Raw genomic sequence first — 26,623 nt, forward strand, 5'->3', positions numbered from 1 at the left:
GTTAAAAGAGAACTAAGCAAATCAACATATGGCAATCAGAACCAATCAGAATACAATCTAGAGAGACAGGGGACTTTGATGCCAGACAGCTAATCAGGAGTAAGCAGGTTGCACCTATTATTCCTCTCACTAATAAAATGAAAAAAAAATACACTGCCCTCATATTACTTGGGCTTCTTATACCTTAACTATTCAATGACAATTTGTATCTGTAGCTATTTTTACTCAAATCATTTGTAATTCTTTGATTCTAGTTCTGTCTTCCTCCCATCCAAGAAATTCTTATGCTCTCCTCCAGCTGTGATGGCCCAGGATTATAGAATACCAAAAGAAAAGAAACCACACCATTCATATCACTGACACACCTCCTCAGAGGGGAAGGTGCAACCTCAGAATGCAGCTATGAGGAATAAAATATGCTGGACCAGGAGTTAGAAGATCAAAATTCCAGTTCCATCCCCAAATCATTAACTGTGTGCTGCTTTGGATTTGTTTCTCTTTGATTTAGTTTCCTCATTTACAAATTAAGAATAGTAATCCCTGTCTCTCATAGTTGCTGTGGGGATTAAACAAAATGGTATATGTGAAAGGTCTTTGGAAACTAAAACTACTTTAAAAGTGAAGGAAGTGATTAGTAGTCTAAGGGCATAGATCACAGCCAGTCCCTGGGAAAAGCAGAAAGTACAGTGGATTGAGTTTGCTCCCACCCTGGGCTTTTTCTTAAAATGTTTTTAACAGCTTTATTGAGATATCATTAACATATACAAATTGTATATGTTTAAGGCATAGAATTTGGTATTTTGATATTTGTATACATTGTGTTAAATTAAATTTGACCTAAAGCTGCCTCTGTATGTAGTGAAGTATAACCTAACTTAATATGTAAACAAACAGCAACACAACTTAACAGTATACTCTTATGACAAGTAACCAGCAGGGCGTGGTGGCTTATGCCTGTTATTCCAGCACTTTGGGAGGCTGAGGCGGGTGGATCACTTGTGATCAGGAGTTCTAGACCATCCTAGACAATATGTTGAAACCCCATCTCTACTAAAAAATGCAAAAACAGTTAGCCGGGCATGGTGGTGCATGCTTGTAGTCCCAGCTACTTGGGAGGCTGAAGTGGGAGGTGGAGGTTGCAGTGAACTGAGGTTGTGCCACTGCACTCCAGCCTAGGTGACAGATCAAGACTCTGTCTCAAAAAAAAAAACAAAAAAAAATAAGCAAACAAGTAACCAAGCCTCAGCCAATCATAGCAGCCAATTATAGGCTGCAAACTGCTCAAACATGTTGAAATAAGGCAAATGCAGAGCTGTAACCAATCAGGCTATTTATGTATGTAATTTCCTTTTTCTTTCTATAAATACTGCCTGTCAATGTTGCTGGGTGGAGCTCTCTCAATCTTCAGTGGTTCAGGGTGCTGCCCAATTCATGAATCATTTCCTTGCTCAAATAAACTCTGCTAAATTTAATTTGTCTAAAGATTTTCTTTTAATAGATTGGTGTAAGAAGTGGGATCTGAAGTAGATGTCTAGTAACCAACAGGAGCACTGAGTTACCAAGTAAAGGTACTTACTAGCATTCAATGTGCCCATTGATCTCTCATAGCAACTGGGATCTGGATAAGTTCTTTCCCAGTTTCAACCTCCGTGGAACTGTGTTGTGTCCTCTTCAACTTTATTTGAGGAATTTTTACTGAACTGGATCCAGGATCAGATTGTGTCTGATAACTAACTAGATTGGTTCCAGTTAGAGACCTCGGGTACGTACCTTTTGAAATGAGTTCCTCCAAATCTAAGAAGCCTAGGACTCCATTTTTTGGGACAATAGCTAATGTTTTATACAAAAATTATGAGCTCTGAACCTGTGCATTTTTGGAAAAAACTGGTTAATTTTACTAAGAACAACTTAGAATTACAGTCATCACAATGTGGAAGTTTTAACCTAGTTAAAAATATTCACTTATGAGGTGCATTAGGAAAGAAAGGATCCAAAATGCCAAAAAAGAAAGGTGATACATTCTTTAATTGGTGCATAGAAGTATCTAAACATTTAAATTAAATCAAAGTTTGCCTCTTTAAAAGTTTCCTTAAAAAAGACAAATGAAAACAAATCTTAAAAGTCTTTTTAATAATTATTAGTCAAAAGCTTTAGCCATCTGTGCTGGAAATCTTGTTCTATGGTCTAGAAAAACAATTTGAGCCCAGATACTCTTTAATAAATTAGTGAGTTTGCATTATTGTACCTGACACATGGCTAAAATTTTTGAATAAAAGCTCTAAGGTCTTTTTCTGTCTAGATGTTTATGTATGTGATGGAATTATTTATATGTTTTTCTAAAAATTGAGCATTAATATAAAAATACATTGATACAAAACTAGAACTTGGTCCACCTGTTAAAACAACACAACTTTTTTGCAGTATTTATCTGCTCTGAATAGGAAATTGGGAAAGGTCTTCCTTTACCTTTTGCGTAATTGGCCCAAAAAACAAAGATTCCATGTTTTACCAAGATAATTTCCTTTGCTTTATGTTGTCTTTTTCAGGTTTTTGATTACTTAAGAACGCTGAGACTTCTCTACTAAAAGAGCTCAGGTTTTTCTATAACTATGTAACTTTCTATATTTGTCTTTGAAGTCTTTTAATATTACCTTGGTTAAATAAATGAATTGTTCACAGTGACCTGTGATCCTATTTTGATCAAATATTTTAACTCTTTGATATTTTTGATAAACTTCTAAAATCAAATTCTAAATTAATTCTTTTTCTGGACCTCAAATAAACTTTGGTATTTTCAAGATGAACTTTTGGAACTTTTCAAAGGAATACCTCTCCTGATAAAAAGAGAGATACTAAAATAACTGGGCTTATTTGACATATTAAATTATATGGGAAGCATTGTCAAATAATAAAAGTAATGCCAAATTTTCTTTGAGCCCTATTTGCATAGATATGTTATTGATGTGTTTCAGAAACTGTATAAAGTTTATAGAAATCTAATAGTCCTAGTATAACTCTAACAGTTATAATTCTAGTTATTATCTTAAAATGTTTTATGCAACAGAAATAACCAAAACACTTTGTCAATTGAATCATTATTATAATGAACTGTCATCATATCTTTAACCATGGACATTTCAGGTCTTGTCATTTACAGGTGGTTAATTGTTTACTCTGATACTTTCCTAACTATAAGCCTAAAGTGTTTCATCTTCATGGAGATTAATGAAAAATACTCTAACAAGTACAGGTTTCTGATAACTTCAAGATCATACCATTGGACTGGGCAAGAACTCCCAGAACTTTAGTGGAGCAAGTGACTGGTTCACAAAACTAACCCAATATCAGGCAGAACAAGAATTAATTAAATACCAAGGAAATGACCTGGCGGATTTTCCTACTAAGTCAGCCAGTACTGAAATTATTAAGATATGCAATTTGAATGAACTCCAAAAAGATTGAGTTAAGTCAAATTACCTATGATAACTTATTTAACAAACAATGCTATGCACCTGGATGGCTACCTGCTTCTTCCTGAGTCCTTAAAGTTTCCATTATCAAAAGCTCTGCACTCCATGACTTATCATGGAAGAGATAAAAGGATCCAAATTGTGAAAAAATATTGATGGGGCGACTCTTCTAAAAGTGCTAAATGTTTGGCTTGTCAAACCCATAATTCTGATAAGACAATCAAAAGTTTAGGTGGTGTATTTTTACCATTTGAGGGATCACTTGAACTTTCACAGGTAGACTGTGAATTTCGATTTCTACCCTTAATGAGGTGTCATAATGTTCTTGTAATACTTTGCATGTTTTCTGATTGTATAAAAGCTTTCCCATGTAGAAAAGCTGATGCTATGATGATAGTTAAGAAGTTATTAGTGGCTGGGCATAGTAGCTCATACCCATAATCCCAGCACTTTGGGAGGCTGAAGCAGGAAGATTGCTTGAGGCCAGGAGTTCAAGATCAGCCTGCAGCCTGAGCAAACATATAACTAATTCTCTTCTAATCTTAGCCAGCTTGATCACACATAAAATTCCTTTCACAAGATTCATCTTCCACAAACCTTCTACAACTTTTTCATTCATTCACTTTTTGTCCTATACTTTTACTCCTCTCATTTTAGAACAACAAACCATTCTAGTTTAAAACAAGATACTGAGAGCTCATCTCTACAAAAACAAAAAAAATTAGTCAGGCATGGTAGCATGACCTGTAGTCCCAGCTACTCTGGTGGCTGAGGTGGGAGTATTGCCTGATCCTGAGCCCAGGATTTCAGTGCTGCAGTGAGTTACAATTGTGCCACTACACTCAAGCCTGGGCAGCAGAACCAAACCCCCATGTCTAAAAAAAAAAGGACAAAAGAAAAAGAAAGAGAAAAAGAAGTTATTAGAAAATGTGTTCCCTTTATGGGGCATCCCTGGAAAAATATCCAGCAACAGAGGAACCCACTTTACTGATCAAATTATAAGTCAGTCAAATAAGATATTTCAAACACGATGGTATTAGGTACGGCTAACTGAATTGATTGAATTGCTTTATTCAAAGATGTTACCAGTTGATGGCAATTAGATCCACTACCACTGGAAAACATACATTGATCTCTTATAAAAGAGTTACTGAAATACCTATGCCCTTAATAATGGAAACTCAGGTATTGGCCCCTCTTATAAACTCTGACATGGCTGAATAGTGCCAGGCTTTAATGCATTATCCCAAAGCATATTTTCACCAGCTAAAAGAAACCCGTTGTGGCCTGTCAAATGATGATAATCAGATCTTTCACAGTCTAAAACTCAGAAATTGGGTCTTTTGGAAGTGACACCTGGGAAAGACTGCTCTTGACCTCTAGTGGAAGGGGACAATACCAAGTTTTCTGCAGCAAACTTCGGGGCCTTAAGTATTGGATCCACATCTCTCAGCTCAAAGTGGGCCCTCAAGACTCCTGAAACTGTACACCTATTAGAGATCTTAAGGTGAAACTGACTACAGAAGATTTGGCCATAAGCAGATGGCATTCTAGATGCGGACAGCTCTCCCAAGATTGATGATCAAGACTTCTCTGGTATCACAAAAGTCTTGTCTTTTTCATTGTGTTTCTTTTTATTCTAATCTCTTCTCTTTTCTTACAGGAAAATCCATGGGACCATAATCTGTGAATGGCTTTAGTGAAGGCTTATGCTCTAGCAAGAAACCAGAGCAATTTTGGGGTGTGTGGACTAATGCCCCCAAATGATAAAACAATTCCATTAATGCCAGTGCCTCTTTGTTTTCCCAGCGAGAGTCCACCTGAAATCTCAAAGGAAGAATGGAAAGCTATCCCTGATATTCTAGCATCACTGTTATTTGGCTTCCTGCACTCAATGGAAACAATACCCTAACCTTTCCAATAATTAACCTAATTACTACCAAGTATATGAAATCTATCCAAGTGATGCCTGCAGAAGGGATATTGTGCCTCCAAGTATTGCAAACTCAAGACCTGGGGACTACCTATGTGGGTAAGAGTAATTGCTTATATGATCTTACTAGATTAAATGTAGTGAGGTGTCTTTCCACTAAACGTGTTTATGTACCCTTACAGTATGCTATAAAAGGACCACAAAAAGGTCAGTTTCCCACTGGACCTTGTTCAGGAGCTATGCTCACTTATGGGCAGATAAATTTATTAATAACTTGACCTCTGCTCAAACACCACTAGGTATTTTTCACCTCATTTTCAGCCCCTGAGATCCTATATTGGGTCTATGGAGAAATTGTGTACTCTGTTGTACATTGCCTCCTTGCTGGCTTGGATCTTTCTGTTTGGTCTTGCTCACTCCTGCCTTCCAAAAAGCTCTGCCTGGAATTACCCATGGTACTCACAGGCCAAAGAGGTCAATAACTGAAATTAGAACCAACCTCAAAACAGATGAAGATCAGTTATTTTCTGTGGAGGAAAGGTTCCAATAAAGTTCCTGGGGGCTCACTGTTGGCAGCAGTGGGGTACTAGTTGTATGGAGTTTGAAACCAATCTGTTCAAGTTGGGGAAAAATCTTGCATTTGGAGCCAGTGAGACCTCCAGGGTTGCAGACACTTTCTAAAACATTTTTGTTTAACTAAACACTTAATGAAACATCTTATAGCCTTAGATCTCCTTTATGCCCCTATTGGGCATTGTATGTGGTGTTGAACAAAACTGAATGTTGCACTTGTCTTTTCTCTGATTTTACTACTATCTGACACTTACTTAAAAAGGTAGCTAATATTGCTGTTCCTCTAGATGCTGCCACCAAATACATTAAGGAATTTTTTTTTGTTTAGGGGAAAGACACATAATGTATTTACAGGAGCAGCTAACAATTGGTTTGCAGGCATCCTTCATAGTGGATGGCAAACTTGGCTATTACAAGGTTTTCTTTTTTTTTTTTCACAACAAAGTTATTTATTTGTTTTTCTGGATGCTGGAGACAAACATCTTTATTAAAGACACTACCAAAATTTTGGCAAACATTTCAAAACAGATTTGTAAACATAATGCTTCCCTTTTCAACTGGCAGCACTTTGAAAAGACAATACAATAAGACAATGCAAATTGAATCAGTATTAGTTCAAAATCCTTATATTTTTGACCACATAACTTATGTTCCCACATGATAAAACAAGTGACAGTTTAAATCAACGTCAACACATAAACTGCATGAAATGAAAGTTTGTGCTGCTTGATGAATCACAGTATGTTATGGTTAAATATATCCACTCTTTTTTATATTCCTGGCACCAGGATGAAAAAAAAATCTTTAAGTATACATCTTATGTAGGTAATAGCTTCTTTGCATATCTCTCTTCAAAAAATACTTTACAGCAGTATATAAATAGGTTACCTACACATTTAATTTTATAATTTTGTCCCAAAACTATAGATCTGTTTCATTTTCATGACATATCAATTTTTGCCCAACATTAATAAAGCTGACAAACTCGTTGAAATGGAAATGCTTTTGTCTTCCACAACAAAAGTTGCAATTTGATAGAAAAAACAAAACAAAACAAAAAAACACCCTACAGTAACACTCGTCAGTTGTTTAACCTGAGCGTTTGGCCTACTAGGAGTAGCAGCTTTTTTCCTTCATGCACGCTCACATCCACACCGCCTCTGCACACATACAGATTGAGCACACACTTCCAGATGCTGGTAGGCCAAAATATGCTTCCCATTGCTCTAATCAAGTGGGAAACAGTGTAGCTAGTGATTAACCACACTATATACACAACTAGCAAATACCTTAAGGCAACCATTGCAATGGGGGGTTAACTTGCAGGGTGGATTTAATGTTCTAGATCAAGTCAGCCTGTATATACATATGTGTATGTGAATCTATACACGTACACCTTTCTATTTTTTAACCCTCCAAGACAATGTTTATTTTTTTAATTTTGTGCAAATTTCTAAATATCCTACCATTTAAGGCAAAGAGTTTGCATTAAGAAAGGTCAGAAAATAGGCTTACGTTTATTCAAAAGCATCTCACCTTGCACACTACTGTTGTTGTTTTTTAAACACATACAACTTTTAAGTGTGGACACTGGATCCCCAATATCTAAAAAATTATTTCTAATAACAAACACAAGTTTTTGAGGAAAAAATGATTTGAAATATAGACAATGGATCCCCAATTCCTAAAAAATTATTTCCATTAACAAACACAAGTCTCGGTGGTGGGGTGGTGGGGAGAACCAGAAAGAGCAGCTTTGAAATGCAGGGAAGCAAAGTAAAATGGAAAAGAAAAAGTAACTGAAGTTTACTAATACTGAAACTTTCAACAGCCAAAGTTTCACCTTTTTAGAATCTAGAGCAACTCATTTGGAATTTTAAATAAATAAGCTTAAGTTTATTCACATGTTCTGGTCCAAGCAGAGTTCTAGGGCCATGACTCTGCCTGCTGTTGGTCAAATTCGCCTAGTAGCCTTTTGATGTGAGCCAGCTTGTTATGAAGATATTCACATCTGTATTTTTCTTCATGGTAATTGGGACTAGACTGCTTTATCTTCCGATATTCTTGTAAGACTTCTTCATGAACATTCTGATACTCTTTTGAGCCTGGAGAAAGGCGCTTTCTTTGTGCATCTAGTTTGATAAATCTTCTAGCTACAGTCTCCATCCTGGCATGCAAAGCTCTGTACTCATCATACTCTGCACTGACGTCATCTTTATAATTCCGGCGTTGCTCATAGGAGATGATAGCAATATATTTTATCAAATAATCTGGGAGTTCAATTGCTGAAGGTTCCATGGAGGCAGTGCAATCCTCTTTAGCTCCTCCACTGGAATTTGGACTGGAGTTATTTAGCTTGGCAATTTCCTCTTCTCTCTTAAGATCTTTCTCCTTTTCCTCAATAGTCTCAATGTCGTGCTTTTTTATTTGGTCCTTTTCCTTATGTTTTTTAGACTTCTTTTTGGACTTTTTGTGAGACACTGAATGGTTTTCTTCCATAGGCTTTGGACACTTTAATAGAACTGAACCAGGGGGTAAGGTTTCCAGAGAAGTCCTAGAGGTATACTTGTCTTGTTGGTTCTCATAGATACTATTGTTTTGACTAAAACTGTCAACAGGTAGGTCTTGAGCCCCCGGCCTTCTGGAGTGCTAGGGGAATTGGAGTTAGAATTTACAATCTGAGGAGGATGTGAAACCGGCAGATGGGTTGAAGGCAAGCGGTGGAGGGGTGGGGATGGCAGCAGCTGCAGGGGGCAGAGGGAGGCCTGCAGCAGATTTTTCACTGGTGGGATTCAAATGACCATTTAGTGTTGGTGGTACTCTGCTCGTCAGGTGAGATATTCGGGCTTTTTTATCCATTAAATGATCAATAAACTCTGAATCCAAAAGCCGTGTCTGAGGAGAAGATACAGCGTTTCTACTAGAACATACTGGAGATTCTGAACGGCTGGTGCCTGCAGCATTCTGAGATGGATTTAGTTTTCTAGAGAGCATTGACTCCAATGACCAAGTGTCTATTTCACTGTATCCAGGCCAGTCTCTCTGAAGCTCTTTAAAAACATAATCCTTTGAAGTATACGAGAGGTCCTTAGGATTCAGATTGGCTACCTGTTGCAGAATTGCTCCCAGGGAGTTCCTGTCTTTTTGATTGACACCATCTTTCTGGAGTCTAGCAAGTAGCTCCGGTTTCTTGTAGGCCTTCAGGGCCAGTAAGTGAACCACCCTGTCCCTGTATGGCTTCTGAGAGACGCTGCTGCTGCTGTGTGTCTATCGAATTGGATTTGCAGGGTTCATGGGGGTTGACCTTTTCCTCTCAGGAACTGTATCTGAAACAGCTTGAGGTGCTTTCCGAATTTGCACTCTTTTCCCTACATATGGTCCACCGGGTTTGATAACTTCTGTGCTTCGGTTGCGGGATTCCTCCTCTGCCTGGGTCGTTCTTTCTCGTGTCATCTGATCCGAGTCGTTTGTTGCACACACTGTAATTTTATCTTGTATAAATCCCAGGCAATTGAGCTGGGAGGCTCCAGAGCTGGAGAATGTTTGCTGGACGCAGTCAAAGCTGCCCTGAGGGTTGTCTTTGCCCACATTTGACAAATAAAAGTTAAAGTTATGAACTTCATTGAGGGGATCATTTTTGGGAATTTTGACAAGCTCCTGGAGTCTTTGGAACTGAATTGAAGGTCGAAAAGAAATTAAATTCTTGTGGCTCTGGTAAGTCTGGAGCGCCTGGATCGCCGACTCGGTGAGCTTCACATGCAGTACGGTGATGTTGTCCTGCCCCAGCCGTCCGCACGAGAGCCCATAGCGCTGCCCCGCGACCCCCCCACCCCCGACATCTTAAACTCCCAGAGGTGCCGCCGCCGCCAGTCCAGCTCCAGCCTCCACTGCGGCCGCAGCTGCTTGGGCTTCTGCAGCCGCCGCCACTGCTAGGGCCATCCCGCTGCTGGCGTACTGTCATATACTGCGCGGAGCCAGACCTCGGACTGCCATCGCCGCCACCTGCCCCACCCTCTGGCCCCGCGCCCCGCCCCAGGCTAGTCTCATTGGTCTAGTTCCCTCAGAACCGTCCTCATCGGCCGCCCTCCACTTTCACGGGGGCGGGGCCCAAAGTCGCTGGAGTTTTGCTCCTGGGACTGGACGTCCGAGAGGTAAGAGAGCTATCACAAGGTTTTCTAATCCTTATGTTTCTTTTAGTGGATCTCCAGGTTACTGTGGTTTGTATTATCAGGCTACTTACAAAAATGAATACCTCTTTAAATCAGGCCATTTTACAGCAAACTACGGTCCTTGATCACCATTATGCTCTGAATAAAGACTATGAGCAATTGCACTTGAATGCTGTTAAACTTTATTGACTGAACTTTGAATTGTTTGATTTTGATCAGGTTGGCTTGTGGAAAGTGCTATTAAGAAGAGTTCTTTAGTTCGTTGGTATTATCCTCCTGATAGCTATTATAAAAGTTTCCCTGATGTGTCCTCTCAAGAATCTTAAATTCTCATATGCAGCTATCCTTTGTACATTAAATGGTCTCCTTATGGTTAGGATAACAAAAACATGAAGAAAGCATATAAGATTCCAACTAATTTGACGTTGTGAATTGTGAATTCTGAACTGAAACCAAGTAAGTCCCTTATGATCAGGCTCCAAGGTTTTGGTCAGCCTCTCAAAATTGAGAGGCTGAAACCCTTTGACCAAAATTAACACATTTGCCCCTTCCCTCCAGCTCCTGGAAACCACTACCCTAACTCTGTTTCCATAAAATAGTAAACTATTTTAGAGTCCACATATAAGTGAGATCATGTAGTACCCACCGTGGGCTTATTTTAAGGCTCTGAGTAAATCACCATCTCTCTGTGCTAGGGTATTCTGAGTCAGTCTTGTTATAAAATATTTTGTTTAGGTAACATATTGCAAAACGTTTCATAATTCAATGGTTCCTTTCCCAGAAAAAAAGCAGTGAAAGTTCCAATAGCCAAAAAGTGTCTAACTCAACTGACCTTTGGGAAAAAATATCCGTATAATTCCAGATAGTCCTAACTTCTGAAGGTAATATAGCCTGGCCTCTGTTGATAAACAAACAAAAACAAAAAAACCACACACACACACACAAACCAGCTTCTTGTCTTTAAGTGTGCAAGAATGTTAGCACTTAAAATTTTTAAGATACACAAAAACTAAACAGAACTGTTCAAGTTTTTAAAGGGAGCTTGGAAATTTGAAGAAAGTAAAGTTAAAAATATTGCCCCATGAGTCATATAATTATTTTTCTTTTTATTTCTCATAGCTTCCCTCCTATCCATTATTTAGGCAATTTTGTATCCAAATTTAATAATTTAACACCTTATTTGTTACAAGAACACGTTACTATGTTATTTTAAGCTTTTTTGGGCAAATTACACATAATTAGATAGGCTGGGTTAGGGCTGTCTACAAGATCCCAGCCTAGAGTGTGGTGCAGTAGCCTATTTTCTCTAGGACTCTTGCTGCAACAGGATATGGGAGAAGGGAAACATTAACGTTAGCAGAATGGGAGGAATCAGATTATGGAGACATGATCCTTGCCTTCTGGCACCTCTCCAGCTGATTTAGAAGAGGACACAGAGGGAGACAGACATATGGCCATTTCTATAATTATAAACTCTGCTACATGCTGAGAGGATGGCTTCTCAAAGCCAGTTAGTGTACAAGCAGTGGAGGTTGGGACTGCCCTACTTCTCCTGCCTAGGGTCACACAGTCTGGCAGATCTGGAAAGACTTCCCTGAGAAAGTGACCTTGGAACTGATACCTTAGTGGAAATAACTAGGCATTGGGAGGGGGTGAGGTGAGGAGAAGGTCAAGAGCTTTCATGTAGAGGGAACTTTGTGCAGAGACCTTAGTCAGGAAGAGGTTTTGCATAGTGGAGGAACTGAAAGCTAACAGCCAGGCTACAGTACAGAGCAAATGATGCTGGGGTGTGAGGTGATGTCAAAAGGTAGACACCAGGGCTAGAGGGCGCATAATCTTGCAGGCCGTGCTAATGATTTTGTTTTCTACCCAAGAATGCTACTTCAGGAGATCAGTCAAAAGGTTAGGGTGATGGTGACGGTGGAAATATAGAAAAAGGAATTTATTCAAGAGGTATTCAAAAAGAAGTGAAATAGAGATGAGTTGGAGATAGATTGGATAAAAAGAGTGAGGGAGAGGGAGGTGTCAGGCTGCAGCCCAGGTTCTGAGTTGCCAAAGAGGAGTCTTTTCCTCCAGGTGAGCTAAGGCTTAGAACCACGATTTTTGGTCACTTTTTCTTATTTTCAGTGTGAGAAGTGGCGAGTTGGCTGTCCAGGTACACACTGTCATCTTACACTTACTGTTTAAGACAGAGGCGCATATTTGGAAAGTGAATGAGTCAGGAGCCAGAGGAGAAGGTATGCCGGCAGAGCCTAGGGCGGAGAGGAGGAAGAGAGTCTGGGGGCGCGTCCCCAAAAAGGAGACAGGGAAGACAGAGCAGAGGCCGGGGAGGGGAGAGCAAGGACCATGACAGGAGGAAAGAGAGGCTAGGGAACACTGAGGTGGAGGAATCCTGGGATATGACAGTTGTAAAGAATTGTAGCCAACCTAATCCAGTTCTCTCAATGTGCAACTGAGGAAATTAATTTTCATGCGTTTACTTTATTGTAAATGTGGTACTTGCACTTGAGAAATTTTGGAAAACATAAAGATGTAAAGCAAATTAAGATCACTCATAGTCTTTCCACCTAGAGACATGTACTGCTAAAGCAAGGACTTTGATCCTTTTTTCCCTTTGCATTTTTACCATGGTTGGAATTGTAACACAGACACAACCTTATGTCCTGCTTCCAAAACATAAATAATGGTTGTAAAGCGTCCCACACGTTGACCCAAAGTCTCCTTTGAAACAGGAAATTGAGACACGCCGGTTGTGAAACCTACTGAAGTGAGCGGCGGCGCCAGGATTCCTGGGACCCCGACCTCTTTGCAGCTCGCACAGCTAAGGGCGAGGGCGCCCTTCGGCAGAAGCAGCAAACCGCCGGCAAGCCCAGCGAGGAGGGCTGCCGGGGTCTGGGCTTGGGAATTGGCTGGCACCCAGCGGAAAGGGACGTGAGCTGAGCGGCGGGGGAGAAGAGTGCGCAGGTCAGAGGGCGGCGCGCAGCGGCGCTCCGCGAGGTCCCCACGCCGGGCGATATGGGGTGCCTGCTGTTTCTGCTGCTCTGGGCGCTCCTCCAGGCTTGGGGAAGCGCTGAAGGTGGGTGGAACGAGGGCGCTTGAGTGCACTCGCGGGAGGGCGGAGAGAGGGAGCTGGGTAGGGACGGGGAGGGCAACGCCTGATGGGGACTGGTGAGACCCGGGACGCACTGGCGCGATCTAGGTAGAAAACTCGCTGCTCCCTGGCTCCGGGGAGAGGCAGCGCGGCACAGAGTTCGCTGGCATCAGCCGCCTCCTGAAGCTCATCTCCTCTTGTTTCTTTCTTCCTTCTCTTTATGCTGGCTGCTCTCCCGGCCACTTGCTACACGCCTCCAATCTTCATTCTCTCCCAGTCCCGCAAAGGCTTTTCCCCCTCCGCTGCCTCCAGATCTCGTCCTTCGCCAATAGCAGCTGGACGCGCACCGACGGCTTGGCGTGGCTGGGGGAGCTGCAGACGCACAGCTGGAGCAACGACTCGGACACCGTCCGCTCTCTGAAGCCTTGGTCCCAGGGCACGTTCAGCGACCAGCAGTGGGAGACGCTGCAGCATATATTTCGGGTTTATCGAAGCAGCTTCACCAGGGACGTGAAGGAATTCGCCAAAATGCTACGCTTATCCTGTGAGCTGAGGGATAGGATCCTGGGCCGGTACCCAAGGGGAGAGAATGGCCACAGAAACTCAACTGGGAGACTGTGGCACCACCTGATGAGATTCTCTGCTCTGTCCACCCTCTTCTGATTTCCCTTCTACCTGGAGATGTCCCAGGCTTTGACTCCTCAAAGTGTCCCTCGTTCCTGCCTACTCCAGGTCACTTACTTTCCTTTCCCTGAAGTCTGGGTCCCCATTATAACCTGCACATCAATTTCTTCTCTTTCATCTCTCCCAGTCTTTTAAACCCTTCTTTGATCTTTCTCCATTCCTCTCCACAGATCCCTTGGAGCTCCAGGTGTCCGCTGGCTGTGAGGTGCACCCTGGGAACGCCTCAAATAACTTCTTCCATGTAGCATTTCAAGGAAAAGATATCCTGAGTTTCCAAGGAACTTCTTGGGAGCCAACCCAAGAGGCCCCACTTTGGGTAAACTTGGCCATTCAAGTGCTCAACCAGGACAAGTGGACGAGGGAAACAGTGCAGTGGCTCCTTAATGGCACCTGCCCCCAATTTGTCAGTGGCCTCCTTGAGTCAGGGAAGTCGGAACTGAAGAAGCAAGGTCAGCCTGCCTTCCTTACTCCCTGCATTCCACTTCAGGGCTCCAAACGGGCTTTTCCATTCCAGGGTTCTCATCCCTTTGAGCATTCAAAGAAGAGGAAGGCCCAGGAGGGGCTGGATAAGGGGTGAGGGTATTTATTCATTTCACAGACATCAACTGAGCACCTCTTGGGTTCTATGAATTCAATTAATGAACAACTGGGGGTGAAAGGTGTCAGGCAGTTAGTTAGGATCCCTGCTTGGTAGGGGGATGTTAATTAATGCAATGCTTGAAATAGGCTACATATGTTACTTCAAAACAAAGGGTGTTATAGGGGAACAGACAAGGGGCATTCATAGGAGGCTGGGACCAGAGAAGAAGAAGGAGTATCAGGGCAGGCTCCCTGAAGAAGGTGGGACAAATGGATTGAAAGTTGTGGGAGACTTCATTTCCAGAAGTGAACATGTCAGGGGCATACAGGAAGGAGGGAAATAAAGACCTGAAAGTCAAAAAGGATGATATGAGGCCTGGAGCCTCTAATGCAGAGTTTTCACTTTAAGATCCCCCCCATTCCCTTGTTGGATACAGTGAAGCCCAAGGCCTGGCTGTCCCGTGGCCCCAGTCCTGGCCCTGGCCGTCTGCTGCTGGTGTGCCATGTCTCAGGATTCTACCCAAAGCCTGTATGGGTGAAGTGGATGCGGGGTGAGCAGGAGCAGCAGGGCACTCAGCCAGGGGACATCCTGCCCAATGCTGACGAGACATGGTATCTCCGAGCAACCCTGGATGTGGTGGCTGGGGAGGCAGCTGGCCTGTCCTGTCGGGTGAAGCACAGCAGTCTAGAGGGCCAGGACATCGTCCTCTACTGGGGTGAGAAAAAGCTGGGCCCAAGCTGGAAATGGCAGGAGGTGGTCCTCAGGCATAGAGGGAGGCACTGGGGTGGGATGTGGCTTGATATACCCAGGTTAGAGGAGTTTCAGAGATGAGGCCCCCAGTAAAAGGATAGAGAGAGGGGTTCCAGACACAGGAAGGAGGGAAATAAAGACCTGAAAGTCTAAAAGGATTGAAATAGTGCTCTCTATATACAAGAAGAAACAAGACTACAAAACTCAGGGATCCAGAAGTAGGCAGCGAATAAACAATCCCAGGACGATTCATTCCTTGGCTTAAAGGGAGCCAGGCCTTTGGGAAGGCAGGTTAGCAAAGATAGCTTGGTTGGTTGAGTGCTCCCTGTGTAGGGGCCAATGAATCTGCATATAATATCTCATCTCATCATTCACAGTTTTCTTTGAAGCAAGTACTGCTCTTTTCGTTATATAGATGAGGAAATGAAGGCGGAGATAGGTTAACTGCCCGGAGCCACATAGAAAGTGGACGGGCTGGATTTAGATTCAGGTCTGCCTTGCTACAAAGCTGTTGCCCTTTCCCTCTATGCTACACTAGCAAATGTCAAAGTGGGCTGAATTTGGGATGCCCAGGCACTGAAAACAAGATGGGGAATCTAAACTTATGAGGAATAGAAATTGGGGTTTTAAGTGGAGGAGGAAATAAGAAGCACCTGGTACCCTCACACATGCCTAGACCAGGGGATTGGATATATGTAGAGAGGGGTCCTGTGCTGAGAGACAGCCTATGTTCCTCCAGAGCAGGTGGGAGCTACACCTCCATGGGCTTGATTGCCTTGGCAGTCCTGGCGTGCTTGCTGTTCCTCCTCATTGTGGGCTTTACCTCCCGGTTTAAGAGGCAAACGTAAGTCTCCCCTTTCCCTTTCCTCAACCTCTCTCCCCTTCATTCCTGGCTTCCCTTTTCCTTAATGGTCTTTCCCTTTCTATTCTCTCACAGTTCCTATCAGGGCGTCCTGTGACTCGCCTTGCCACATCTGTGTCTCTGGAACCCAGGACCTCTGGACCTCAGGTTCCTAAGACTTCAGTCCTGGTCTGCTCAGGAATTGAAGATGTAAGGAATTGAAGATAGGAGAGATACCTTGAAAAAGTAGAGAACAGTCATGAGGCAGCTTTCATCACACCCTTTTAACATTTATCTAAAAGAATTTAAATTCTTTTTCAAAAATTACACTACAAGTTTATAAGCCCAAATGGCTCTGTGAAATCAGAAGTGCAAAGGTGTGCAAACTTGTATCTGAAGACCTACCAGGGACAAGCAGGTAAGAGCTGATGTGAGTGTGTGTGATGGGATCTGTAAGGAACTGGAACACACATGTCCTATCCAAAGGAATCAGCTGCAGCTGCTTGTTGTCAAGTATAAAGTCAGGACCTGGCTTGGCTTTAACCGTTTTTCAAGAAAACTGGAAATCTGGATTTTCAGCGAACATGCCTGATTTTAAAAGGTTGACTCAAGTTTTTACAAAATACTATGTGGGACACCTCAAATACATACCTACTGACTGATGACAAACCCAGGAGTTTGTGTGTCTTTTATAAAAAGTTTGCCCTGGATGTCATATTGGCAGTTGGAGGACACAGTTTCTATTGTAAATTTGGATTTACGACTGAAGAAGGACATTTTCTCTTTAAAAGAAAGTTAGGTTATAAGAAACAGAGGCGTCTCACATTTTTACTTGGTGTAATTAATAAACGAAGATAAATCATAGTGTATGTGTATTATGTTGAAAAAAACTACTCTGAGTAAGGATATTTCTCTCAAATGGTCATCACTTTTTTTCCTTGGAGGAAGATTGTCATGAAGGCATCCCTTCCTTCCCAAAACGACAACGGCAACAACAACAGTCTCCTTTACTTACAGCTATTAAAAGAGACAATGTAGGGAAAGGGCCAACACCACTTGGGCAAGCATGAGCTGCAGCGATGATGGTGATGGTAGCCCAGCCATGCTGTGTTCTTATCTTAGAGAGGACAGAGCAGGAAACTTACAGGGGTAGCAGACCTTTCTGATGCCAAAGAAATAAGGAGGCCAAAATCATGTTTGCCTAGCTGGGAGGTAAATCTCTTGGCAGTCAGGGTCCCTGAACACCCAGAAAAAATAAGTGAGACTTAACGGTTGGAGAGTGTTTGCTTGAGAAAAGTAACATTTCACACTCTCTATACTAGACTTGCACATATGAATTTAGGATGTGCGTGAAGATTCTGCTAGCTTCAACATATCCCAAAGCACTTGGATATGCCTATAATCCAAGTGCTTTGGGAGGCTGAGATAGGAGGATTGTTTAAGGCCAGGCATTTGAAATCAGCCTGGGCAACATAGTGAGACCCTGTCTCTACAAAAAATTAAAAAACTAGCCACCCATGGTGGTGAGCGCCTGTAGTCCTAGCTACTCTGGAGGCTGAGGTGGGAGGATCCCTTGAGCCCATGAATTCCAGGTTAGTGTGAGCTGTGATTGTGTCACTACAGTGTAAGGATGACAGAGGGAGACCCTGTCTTAAAAAAAAATTATGCTAGCTTTTAAATCAATGGTTCCCAAATTGTAGTAACCTGACCAACAGCCTCAGCAGGACCTGGGAACTTGTTATAAATGCAAATTGTTTTGGGCCTCATCCTATACCCGCTGAATGAGAAACTCTGAGTCTGGAAGCAGGCTCAATAGTCAAGCCCCCTGGTGATTCTGATGCTTAGCTAAAGTTAGAGAACCACTGTTCTTAGACATTGTGCAATGTTATACAACAACTTCCTCAAAGTGCTAAGTGAAAAGGACATTGGCCTGGCGTTAGTCAGGGAAGGCGTCCTGGAGGGAGGGGAATTTGAAGCAGAGCTTTGAAAAACAAAGGCAGTGAGGTGAACCAGCAAGTGCACTGGCTGAGGGGACTGGAGTTCTAGCCTCTGAACCAGTTTCCTCCTGTGCCAAAGGAGGATAATAATTATCTATTATTGATTATCTCCTAGACTTGTGGAGTTCAAGTGTGTAATGCCTTAAAAGATGTGGAGGCTGTTGCTGTGTTTGGTACCACATTGCCCACCCTCACGTGGCGCTCTTCAGCTTAGGTTCCTCTAGCAGTGTCAAGTTTGTGAACCAACCCCACTGGCCTTCTGCATTCTGAGGGCACGTGTGTTAAAGTCTCTACTGATGTCCTTTTGGAAATGCCTCTGCATGAATTTATGGTAGCTCTGACTCATCTTTAAACAATTTTAATTTATTTAGAAAATAAAGGCTTATCTCTCCAGGAAATTTTTTCTTCCTTCAAATAAATACTCAGTTCCAAATATCTCAGAGAATCCTGAGAATTCATTTTAGAACATGTTAATACTCTTTTTATGAGTATCATGTTTCTTACTGAGTGTTGTGCTGATTGTGAATTTATTACCACTCTGCTCCAAATTCATTCTTCATAATAGGCTCAGTGACAATGAACAGAGTTCCTTTAAAAAGTCAGCACATTGTTAAGCTTTTTCAGTAAAGGGCCCCGGAGGGACACAGCAGGAGGAAGGGGCTCTCCTGCAGCTTCCAGCTACTGCGTGGTGGGTCAATGAAGTGGGTGGGAAGACATCCTGTGTGGCGCTGCCTGTGGTCCCTGCCCCTCCAAGTACCCCATTCTATCTGCAGACCCTCGCATCTCCTGTGCTTAATCCACCCACTGCCTGGAGGTTTCCACTGAGCAGTACTTCCTCTGCAAGCCCCTGCCTCAAGCCAGGAGGGTTTCTTCCAGCTTATCTAGCTACTTCAGGCCAGCTTTGGCCTGGGTAAACCTGTGAATGTCTCTGCTACCCAAGGTATGGGACTGAACCATACCTTCTCCAATAAGATCTGCGCCCCAGCCTTGGGGAGGAGTCACACTTCCGAGTTGCTCTTCTTTGGATATTCTCCTTCCACCCTAGGGTTTTTTGCTGAGTTTTCTTACATATTATAATTATTTTCTTATTATGTTTAATAATTCTGTTAAACTTCCTCTGTTAAACTCATGGTGGAGTTTCTATTTCCTGATTGGACTCAGGAGGATACATGTGTCTTCTCAGCTATACACAGAAATCTGTGAACTTTCCAAAGCTACTACTTGAATTTGCTTTTTGCTCATGAGTCTATGGCATGGAGTTGGTTTGCTTTGCTTTGCGGTGTAGCTCTTTCTTTAAGAGCTGAGAATGGATGTTCTTTTTTTGCCAAAACCATCCTCGGAAGTGCCTGCTCCACTTTTTTTTTTTTTTCTTCAATTATTTATTTATTTATTTATTTTAGATGGCATCTTGCTCTGTCGCCCAGGCTGGAATGCAGTGGCGTGGTCTCGGCTCACTGCAACCTCCACCTCCTGGGTTCAAGTGATTCTCCTGCCTCAGCCTCCCAAGTAGCTGGGATTACAGGCGCACACTACCACACTCAGCTAATTTTTGTATTTTTGGTAGAGATGAGGTTTCACCATGTTGGCCAGGCTGGTCTCGAACTCCTGACCTCGTGATCCACCCACCTCAGCCTCCCATAGTGCTGGGATTACAGGCATGAGCCACCACACCCAGCCTCGACATTTATTATAGGTTCGAGGGATACATGTTTAAGTTTGTCACAAAGGTATATTGTGTGATGCTGAGGTTTGGAGCACAAATGAATCCGTCTCCCAGATAGTGAGCATAGTACCCAATAGGTAGTTTTTCAGCTCTTGTCCCCATTCCTCCCTCCCCATTCTTGTGCTCCGCAGTGTCTATTGTTCTCATCTTTATGTCCATGTGTACTCAGTGTTTAGCTCCCACTTATAAGTGAAAACGTGTGGTATTTAGTTTTTTGTTCCTGCGTTAGTTCGTTTAGGATAATGGCCTCCAGCTGCCTCCATGTTGCTGCAAAGGACATGATTTCAGTCTTTTTAATGGTTGCCTAGTATTCCATGGTGTATATGTACCACATTTTCTTTATCCAATCTGGAGTTGATGCTGCCCCACTCTTAGTGTATCCTCTCCTCTCATTCCCTGGGGTCTCTGTTGCTTAGGGTAACTGTAATTGAGAGGGTGTACTTAATAATTAAGCAGGATGACAGGTGTAAACTGAGACTGGCTCAGACAAACTTTGCTCATTTATTCTTTTCTATTTGTGCTGTGCAGTTGCTTAAACTGGCTCTTCTTCCTTTGTGGTCTGGACCCTATTCTCAGGCCACATATGTCTTCTCACTTCTCACTCCCTGTGATGTGATTTGAAAATTGCCTCTAGGTGGAAAGGCAGGGAATAATTAAAGACTCACCTAGATTATTTTCCCATACTCAGTATCACAACACTCACTTTCTGTTTTTCTCAATGTCTGAAAACACTTGTTTAATATATTTTGATGAGTTTCTACATGTTTTTTGTTGTAGGACAATCTCTCTCTCTCTCTCTTTTTTCTGGAGATAGGCTCTTGCTCTGTTACTCAGGCTAGAGTACAGTGGCAGAATCAAAGCTCACAGCAGCCTCGAACTCCTGGGCTCAAGAGAGCCTTCCGCTTCAGCAGAGGATAATATTTTGACATTTTAACATATGTATTTATTTCTTTTCTTACATTTTTCCTCTTTTCTCCTCCTTGTCTATGCAAGATATTTACACATTTCTCTTTGCCTCAGGGGAAGAATGTGGCAAGATAGAAAACAGAAATAGCTTCCCAGTCATTCTGTGTTATTTCCAGCAGCACTATCAGGGAGGGGACAAAAACCCAGAGAGAACGACTATAAGGTTCTGCTGGACAACAGGTCACGGGTAGCCTTAGCAAAACACCCATACCTGTAATTGTGGCACAGAAATATCAGAAAGGATACTGTGTCTTAAAAGGCTGTGCAGAAAGTGATATGTTTATTTCAGGGATAATCAGTATGGCTTAACAAATGAGTGTCAGTGAGTATAAGGTTAGAATTCTACGGATTGGGGGCAGAAATCAGGAAAAACTAAAATTACATGTTTTCTACCACTGGACCAATGATGCTCAGAGTTAGAAATTATGTTAACTAATGGAAAATAAAGAGATATCCAACATATTGTCTAAGATTCACATGTATTACCTGTGGGATTTGTGTGGGATTACCAAGAATTATTTTACAGAACATGTCTATCTCCTGGATAAATCATAACCTCTAGCACTGGAGCCAGTACATTTTGAGACAATTGCTGTGACTGTGTGGGGACATTTATTTGAAGTCTGGAGATGGACTTAGAATTTAATACTGATTCCTGAAATTTCTGTGGACTATAGTAAACACAGTTTGCAAGATGACTATAGTATGATCAATAGCCCATAGTGGACACACGGTGATTGGAAGATGAAAAAAACAGGATAAAACCAGTCTTGTTAGAATTTTCTGAGAAGATTAAATTCTGTTAGTTTCAGAAAAATAACTAGAAATGAAGGAAAGTGGAAAGTTACATAAATGGCCTGTATTTCAGACTCTACATTTCAACAATAGTAACAATAGTAACACAGCTATCACAGCAACATCAGCTTCTTGGTAAGAGATGGGCACGGGCCTGGAGAAATTTCCACTGAAAAATGTGAATCTGGCTCATAGGGAACAGTTTTGGGTAGGTGTAAAATCGTATTGCCTTATAGACCTTCAAAGAACTGAAGCTCATAAAGGAGAAACAGAAGTGAAGTTGGTTTCTCACCACCATGATCAAAAGAAACTTGACACAGTTAATGTCATGTTGGTGGTATAATTCTAGACCAAGTGAGGTAGTTAAAAAATGTGGTGGTTGAAATAGCCTACTGACTTTGCAGCCTTTGGGGAGCCAAGCAAAAGCAGCCTTCTATTGGGCCTGAGAGCTGGCTGTTAAGGCAAAGGGACCATCATGTCACCCACGCATGGAAAAGGAATAGATACACTTAGCTCTTTTCACTGATGATGTCACCATATACCTGGAAAACCCAAGCAACCTTATTTGGAAAAACAAATACTAGAATTTATAAGGGAATTTCAGCAGGTAAAAAAGATGAATATATGAAAATCAAAGCTATTTTTCCTGTTAACAATAACCAAGTAGAAATGTAAATGGGAAATAATAGTCTATTAATAGTCCATTAAAAAAAGACAAGAATTTTAAAGACTTAAGAATACCTTTCACAAGAATATTGTCGACCCATATGAAAAAGAGTATAGAGACCTCTGAAAGACAATAAACATGTTCTGAATTTATGAAAAGCCATGCTATAGTCTTAGTTTAGAACATTTAATATAGTTAAATATTAATTATCTCTTCAAATTTGTAAATTAAATAAAATTCTAAGTAGTATTAAAATGACCCCAACATATAAAAAATAGTACAAATGGGGAGTCTGCCATAATAGATATTAAAACCCAGAGCCAATGTCATCAAAACATCATGGTAATAAAATAGAAGTTGACAAATAGAAGAATAGAGGAATAGAATAGAAAGCTAAGAAATAGATCTCAGTATATATGGAAATTTATGTATGAGATGCTATTGCATATTACTGCAAAGAATAATTAATGGATGGACTTCCTATTCATGTAGAAAAAAACTAATTGGAACTTTGCCTCATAGAATAACCATAAATAAACTCCAGATGTATTAAAGACGTGGAAGTTTTGAATATTTTTAATCAAAACAGAAATACAGAAACTATAAATAAAATATAGATATACTAACAAATAAAAAGTTTTTAAGGCAATAGATGGCATAAACCAACTATAGATTGGGAAAATATCTATATTACAAATGACAGATAGTGTTAGTTAATATTAATAATGAGCATAGTCACTCACAAATTTATAAGAATAAGTTCAACATTCAGATAATAAATGGGCAAAGACTATGAAAAGATAACTCATGAAGAAAAATTTAACATTGCCAACATAACAAAGATAACTATTCTCATTAGTAGTCACAGAAGAATCATGAGATATCCATTCTAACTTATCAAATTGATAACAATGAAGGAGGATAATATATTATTTTTTTAACAGCTTTTTGAAAGCTTTTTGGCAAAAATCTCTTTACATGAAAAATTAATGGGCCCTTGAACTCAAAAATTCTACTTTTGGGAACATATTTTATTAAAATGAAAGCACCAGTGTTTGAGGATATATGTACAAGATGATAGTTGCAGCCCTTTATGTATATATGTGTATATTTTGTAGTGGCCAAAAACTGAAAATAGACATTAATTAGGAATAGGTGCAGTTGCTTAAAGCAAAAACAGCCCCCCAAAAAAGAGACTTAAACAAGTAAAAGTCTTAAACGAGACTTCTATTATCCTACAGAATAGAAGTCCAGACATAAGCACTCAAAGGCTAGCTTCCTGAGGTTAATAGGGACCCGGCTTTGTCGAGCTCATTGCTCTGTTACTCGTTGTTATGCCCCATGTTAAATGCTAAAGTGTGATCCATCACAAGAGTTTTCTGGGTAGCAGGATGGAGGAAGAAAAAAGGACACCGCCTTTATCCCCACTTTTAAAGTGAATTAACAGAAGTAGGATACATGAACACAAGCCTTCTTCTACTGTCTTGATAAGAAGCATTCATGCGACCACATCTACATGCCAGTGAGGCTGGGATATCTAGTATTTAATCTAGTGAGAATACGCCTAACTAAAAATCAGGTTTTGTTGCTAATGAATTTGATGAGGCAACTTGCAGTTTCTGTCACAGGCAAACCATGGAACAAGGGGCAATCATTGAAAGAAATGAGTTAGATATATTAACTTTGACTTGAAAGAACTAGAACAACTTTACTAAGTTTTGAGAATCTGTAAACCAATTTATTTCTCTTACATTTTCTTTTGTTTATTCACAAAAATTATATATAATTAATATGCTTGTCTAAAAAAGTTCAAAAGACCACTTGAAAAGTTAAAACACAAAGAGATAAAAATATTGTGTTGGTTTATTTGACAGTTTTTTTCTTTTCTTAGTGGTACATAAAATATTTGCATAATTACAATTGGTTACATCTTAGCATGATGAAATATGATACCATAATTTAAATTAATATGAAAGTATGATAAAACATTAAGACAATAGATACCATATGACTCTGATAATACCTCCGTTTACTTTCCTAAAATTTTACAAAATTTTTACTCTTGGTTATCTGTTGCGGGAAGTCAGGGACCCCAAACGGAGGGACCGGCTGAAGCCATGACAGAAGAATGTGGATTGTGAAGATTTTATGGACATTTATTAGTTCCCCAAATTAATACTTTTGTAATTTCTTATGCCTGTCTTTACTGCAATCTCTAAACATAAATTGTAAAGATTTCATGGACACTTATCACTTCCCCAATCAATATCCTTGTGATTTCCTATGCCTGTCTTTGCTTTAATCTCTTAATCCTGTCAGCCGAGAAGGATGTATATCGTCTCAGGACCCTGTAATAATTGCGTTAACTACACAAATTGTACAGCATGTGTGTTTGAGCAATATGAAATGTGGGCACCCTGAAAAAAGAATAGGATAACAGCAATTGTTCAGAGAATAAGAGAGATAACCTTAAACTCTGACTGCCGGTGAGCCGGGCAGAACAGAGCCATATTTCTCTTCTTTCAAAAGCAAATGGGAGAAATATCGCTGAATTCTTTTTCTCAGCATGGAACGTCCCTGAGAAAGAGAATGCGCACCTAGGGGTAGGTCTCTGAACTGGCCCCCCCGGGGCGTATCTGTCTCTTTTGGTCGAGATTGCAGAGGTGAAATAAACTCCAGTCTCCCACAGCACTCCCAGGCTTATTAGGAAGAGGAAATTCCCGCCTAATAAATTTTGGTCAGACCGGTTGATCTCAAAACGCTGTCTCCTGATAAGATGTTATCAATGACAATGGTGCCTGAAACTTCATTAGCAATTTTAATTTTGCCTCCATCCTGTGGTCCTGTGATCTCGCCCTGCCTCCACTTGCCTTGTGATATTCTATTACCCTGTTAAGTACTTGATGTCTGTCACCCACACCTATTCGTATACTCCCTCCCCTTTTGAAACTCCCTGATAAAAACTTGCTGGTTTTTGTGGCTTGTGGGGCATCACGGATCCTACCAACGTGTGATGTCTCCCCCGGATGCCCAGCTTTAAAATTTCTCTCTTTTGTACTCTGTCCCTTTATTTCTCAAGCCAGCCGACGCTTAGGAAAATAGAAATGAACCTACGTGATTATTGGGGCAGGTCCCCCGATAGTTATCACCTCAAAAGAATAGGTAAAATATATATTTTTTTCCTTTGGAGACAGAGTCTCACTCTGTCCTCCAGGCTGGAGTACAGTGGTGCAGTCTCGGCTCACTGCAACTTCTGTCTCCTAGGTTCAAGGTTCAAGCGATTCTCCTGTCTCAGCCCCCCAAGTAGCTGGGATTACAGGCGCCCGCCACCACGCCTGGCTAATTTTTGTATTTTTTTTCATAAAGATGGGGTTTGGCTATGTTGACCAGGCTGGTCTTGAACTCCTGACCTCAGGTGATCTGCCCACCTTGGCCTCCCAAAGTGCTGAGATTACAGGCGTGAGTCGCTGTGCCTGGCCGATAAGTAAAATCTTAACGCATGGCTTTGTGCTACCACAGCACATCTTCCTGACTTCTGGTATCTAACTCCCTGGAGACCATTTTTTGGGCTCTACTCCTCACCCTCCTGGAATCTATTAATTCTTTGTTAGCTCCCCTGATCAGTGTGCTGGCTCTCTTGCTCCAAAATCTATTAATGAATTGCAGGTCATTCAAGGGCTTTTCAAAATGGAGGAAAAATAGTTTATTTTGTAGAGATACCATTTTCTCTTTTCTTTTCCAAATTATTGGAATCTAGGTGAAGAAATGCTTCATCTAAAATGCAGGGTCGTGGATGCTATGAATTGGTTTGCTGAAACTGGAAAGGTAAAAGTACATTTCTCAGACTACTTTTCATTTTCAGTTTTGGATGTATATTTGGTTTTAACATTTAGATGCAGTCTTGGGACATTTTTAGGCAGGCTTTTAACTACAAATGCACTTTTCTTTAGCAGATATAGAGTTATTCAACAGCTCTGATTAAATGAATAAACACCTTGAAAAACACAGACTACCAAAGTTCACTCAAAAAGAAACAGATGGCCAGGCGCGGTGGCTCACGCCTGTAATCACAACACTTTGGGAGGCCGAGGCGGGTGGATCACAAGGTCAGGAGTTCAAGACCAGCCTGGCCAAGATGGTGAAACCCTGTCTCTACTAAAAATATAAAAATTAGCCAGGCACAGTGGCTGGCGTCTGTAGTCCCAGCTACTCGGGAGGCTGAGGCAGGAGAATCGCTTGGACCTGGGGGGTGGAGGTTGCAATGAGCCAAGATTGTACCACTGCATTCCAGCCTGAGTGACAAAGTGGGACTCTGTCTCAAAAAAAAAAAAAAAAAAAAAAAAAAGAAATAGATAATCTGAATAACTTTTTCTGATATTGATAA

At 41.2% G+C, this 26,623-nt stretch overlaps 1 protein-coding gene, 1 long non-coding RNA gene and 1 pseudogene across 7 annotated transcripts in view, besides 5 other annotated features; 2 read left to right on the forward strand and 1 right to left on the reverse strand.

Annotated features, from left to right (window-relative positions):
* LOC105371460 (uncharacterized) overlaps positions 1–5,273 on the forward strand; it is a 32,490-nt gene extending 27,217 nt beyond the window's left edge. The window contains exon 5 of the long non-coding RNA XR_922187.3: positions 1,609–5,273. This is a non-coding gene — a long non-coding RNA (uncharacterized LOC105371460). The remainder of the gene's footprint in view (positions 1–1,608) is intronic.
* On the reverse strand, positions 6,412–9,942 carry ELL2P1 (elongation factor for RNA polymerase II 2 pseudogene 1; annotated as a pseudogene).
* CD1D (CD1d molecule) lies at positions 10,089–18,486 on the forward strand. Of its 6 annotated transcripts, none has more exons than NM_001371763.1 (7): positions 10,089–10,127; positions 12,878–13,221; positions 13,514–13,780; positions 14,091–14,369; positions 14,937–15,215; positions 15,995–16,094; positions 16,188–16,955. In NM_001371763.1, the coding sequence occupies exons 2-7, from the start codon at positions 13,161–13,163 to the stop codon at positions 16,207–16,209; spliced, it is 1,008 nt and encodes a 335-aa protein (NP_001358692.1). In that variant the 5' UTR covers positions 10,089–10,127; positions 12,878–13,160; the 3' UTR covers positions 16,210–16,955. The 6 variants fall into 6 exon arrangements, with proteins under 6 accessions (NP_001358692.1, NP_001757.1, NP_001358691.1 ...); NM_001766.4 differs by lacking the exon at positions 10,089–10,127 and adding an exon at positions 12,006–12,221 and having other exon boundaries at positions 16,188–18,486; NM_001371762.2 differs by lacking the exon at positions 10,089–10,127 and having other exon boundaries at positions 12,954–13,221; positions 16,188–18,486.
* Positions 11,963–12,012: a silencer, noted in NCBI's record as "silent region_1449". NCBI's record gives its function as "represses an Ori minimal core promoter by ATAC-STARR-seq in GM12878 lymphoblastoid cells {active_cell/tissue: GM12878}" and the evidence as "EXISTENCE:reporter gene assay evidence [ECO:0000049][PMID:35858748]".
* Positions 13,425–13,484: an enhancer, noted in NCBI's record as "active region_1897". NCBI's record gives its function as "activates an Ori minimal core promoter by ATAC-STARR-seq in GM12878 lymphoblastoid cells {active_cell/tissue: GM12878}" and the evidence as "EXISTENCE:reporter gene assay evidence [ECO:0000049][PMID:35858748]".
* Positions 17,748–18,261: an enhancer, noted in NCBI's record as "NANOG hESC enhancer chr1:158155479-158155992 (GRCh37/hg19 assembly coordinates)". NCBI's record gives its function as "activates a minimal SCP1, AML or CMV promoter by ChIP-STARR-seq in naive H9 embryonic stem cells {active_cell/tissue: H9 hESC(naive)}" and the evidence as "EXISTENCE:reporter gene assay evidence [ECO:0000049][PMID:30033119]".
* Positions 24,647–25,353: an enhancer, noted in NCBI's record as "OCT4-NANOG-H3K27ac hESC enhancer chr1:158162378-158163084 (GRCh37/hg19 assembly coordinates)". NCBI's record gives its function as "activates a minimal SCP1, AML or CMV promoter by ChIP-STARR-seq in primed H9 embryonic stem cells {active_cell/tissue: H9 hESC(primed)}" and the evidence as "EXISTENCE:reporter gene assay evidence [ECO:0000049][PMID:30033119]".
* Positions 25,354–26,059: an enhancer, noted in NCBI's record as "NANOG-H3K27ac hESC enhancer chr1:158163085-158163790 (GRCh37/hg19 assembly coordinates)". NCBI's record gives its function as "activates a minimal SCP1, AML or CMV promoter by ChIP-STARR-seq in naive and primed H9 embryonic stem cells {active_cell/tissue: H9 hESC(naive and primed)}" and the evidence as "EXISTENCE:reporter gene assay evidence [ECO:0000049][PMID:30033119]".

Source organism: Homo sapiens, chromosome 1, assembly GCF_000001405.40.
Source record: "Homo sapiens chromosome 1, GRCh38.p14 Primary Assembly".
Taxonomy (NCBI): Eukaryota; Metazoa; Chordata; class Mammalia; order Primates; family Hominidae; genus Homo; species Homo sapiens.

Excerpts from the sequence above, each read along its gene's own strand:
- CD1D (NM_001371763.1), top strand. The coding sequence starts at position 13,161 with ATGGGGTGCCTGCTGTTTCTGCTGCTCTGGGCGCTCCTCCAGGCTTGG. Across the intron at positions 13,781-14,090 it reads CAAAATGCTACGCTTATCCT|ATCCCTTGGAGCTCCAGGTG; the intron begins GTGAGCTGAGGG and ends TCCTCTCCACAG. Across the intron at positions 16,095-16,187 it reads TCCCGGTTTAAGAGGCAAAC|TTCCTATCAGGGCGTCCTGT; the intron begins GTAAGTCTCCCC and ends ATTCTCTCACAG.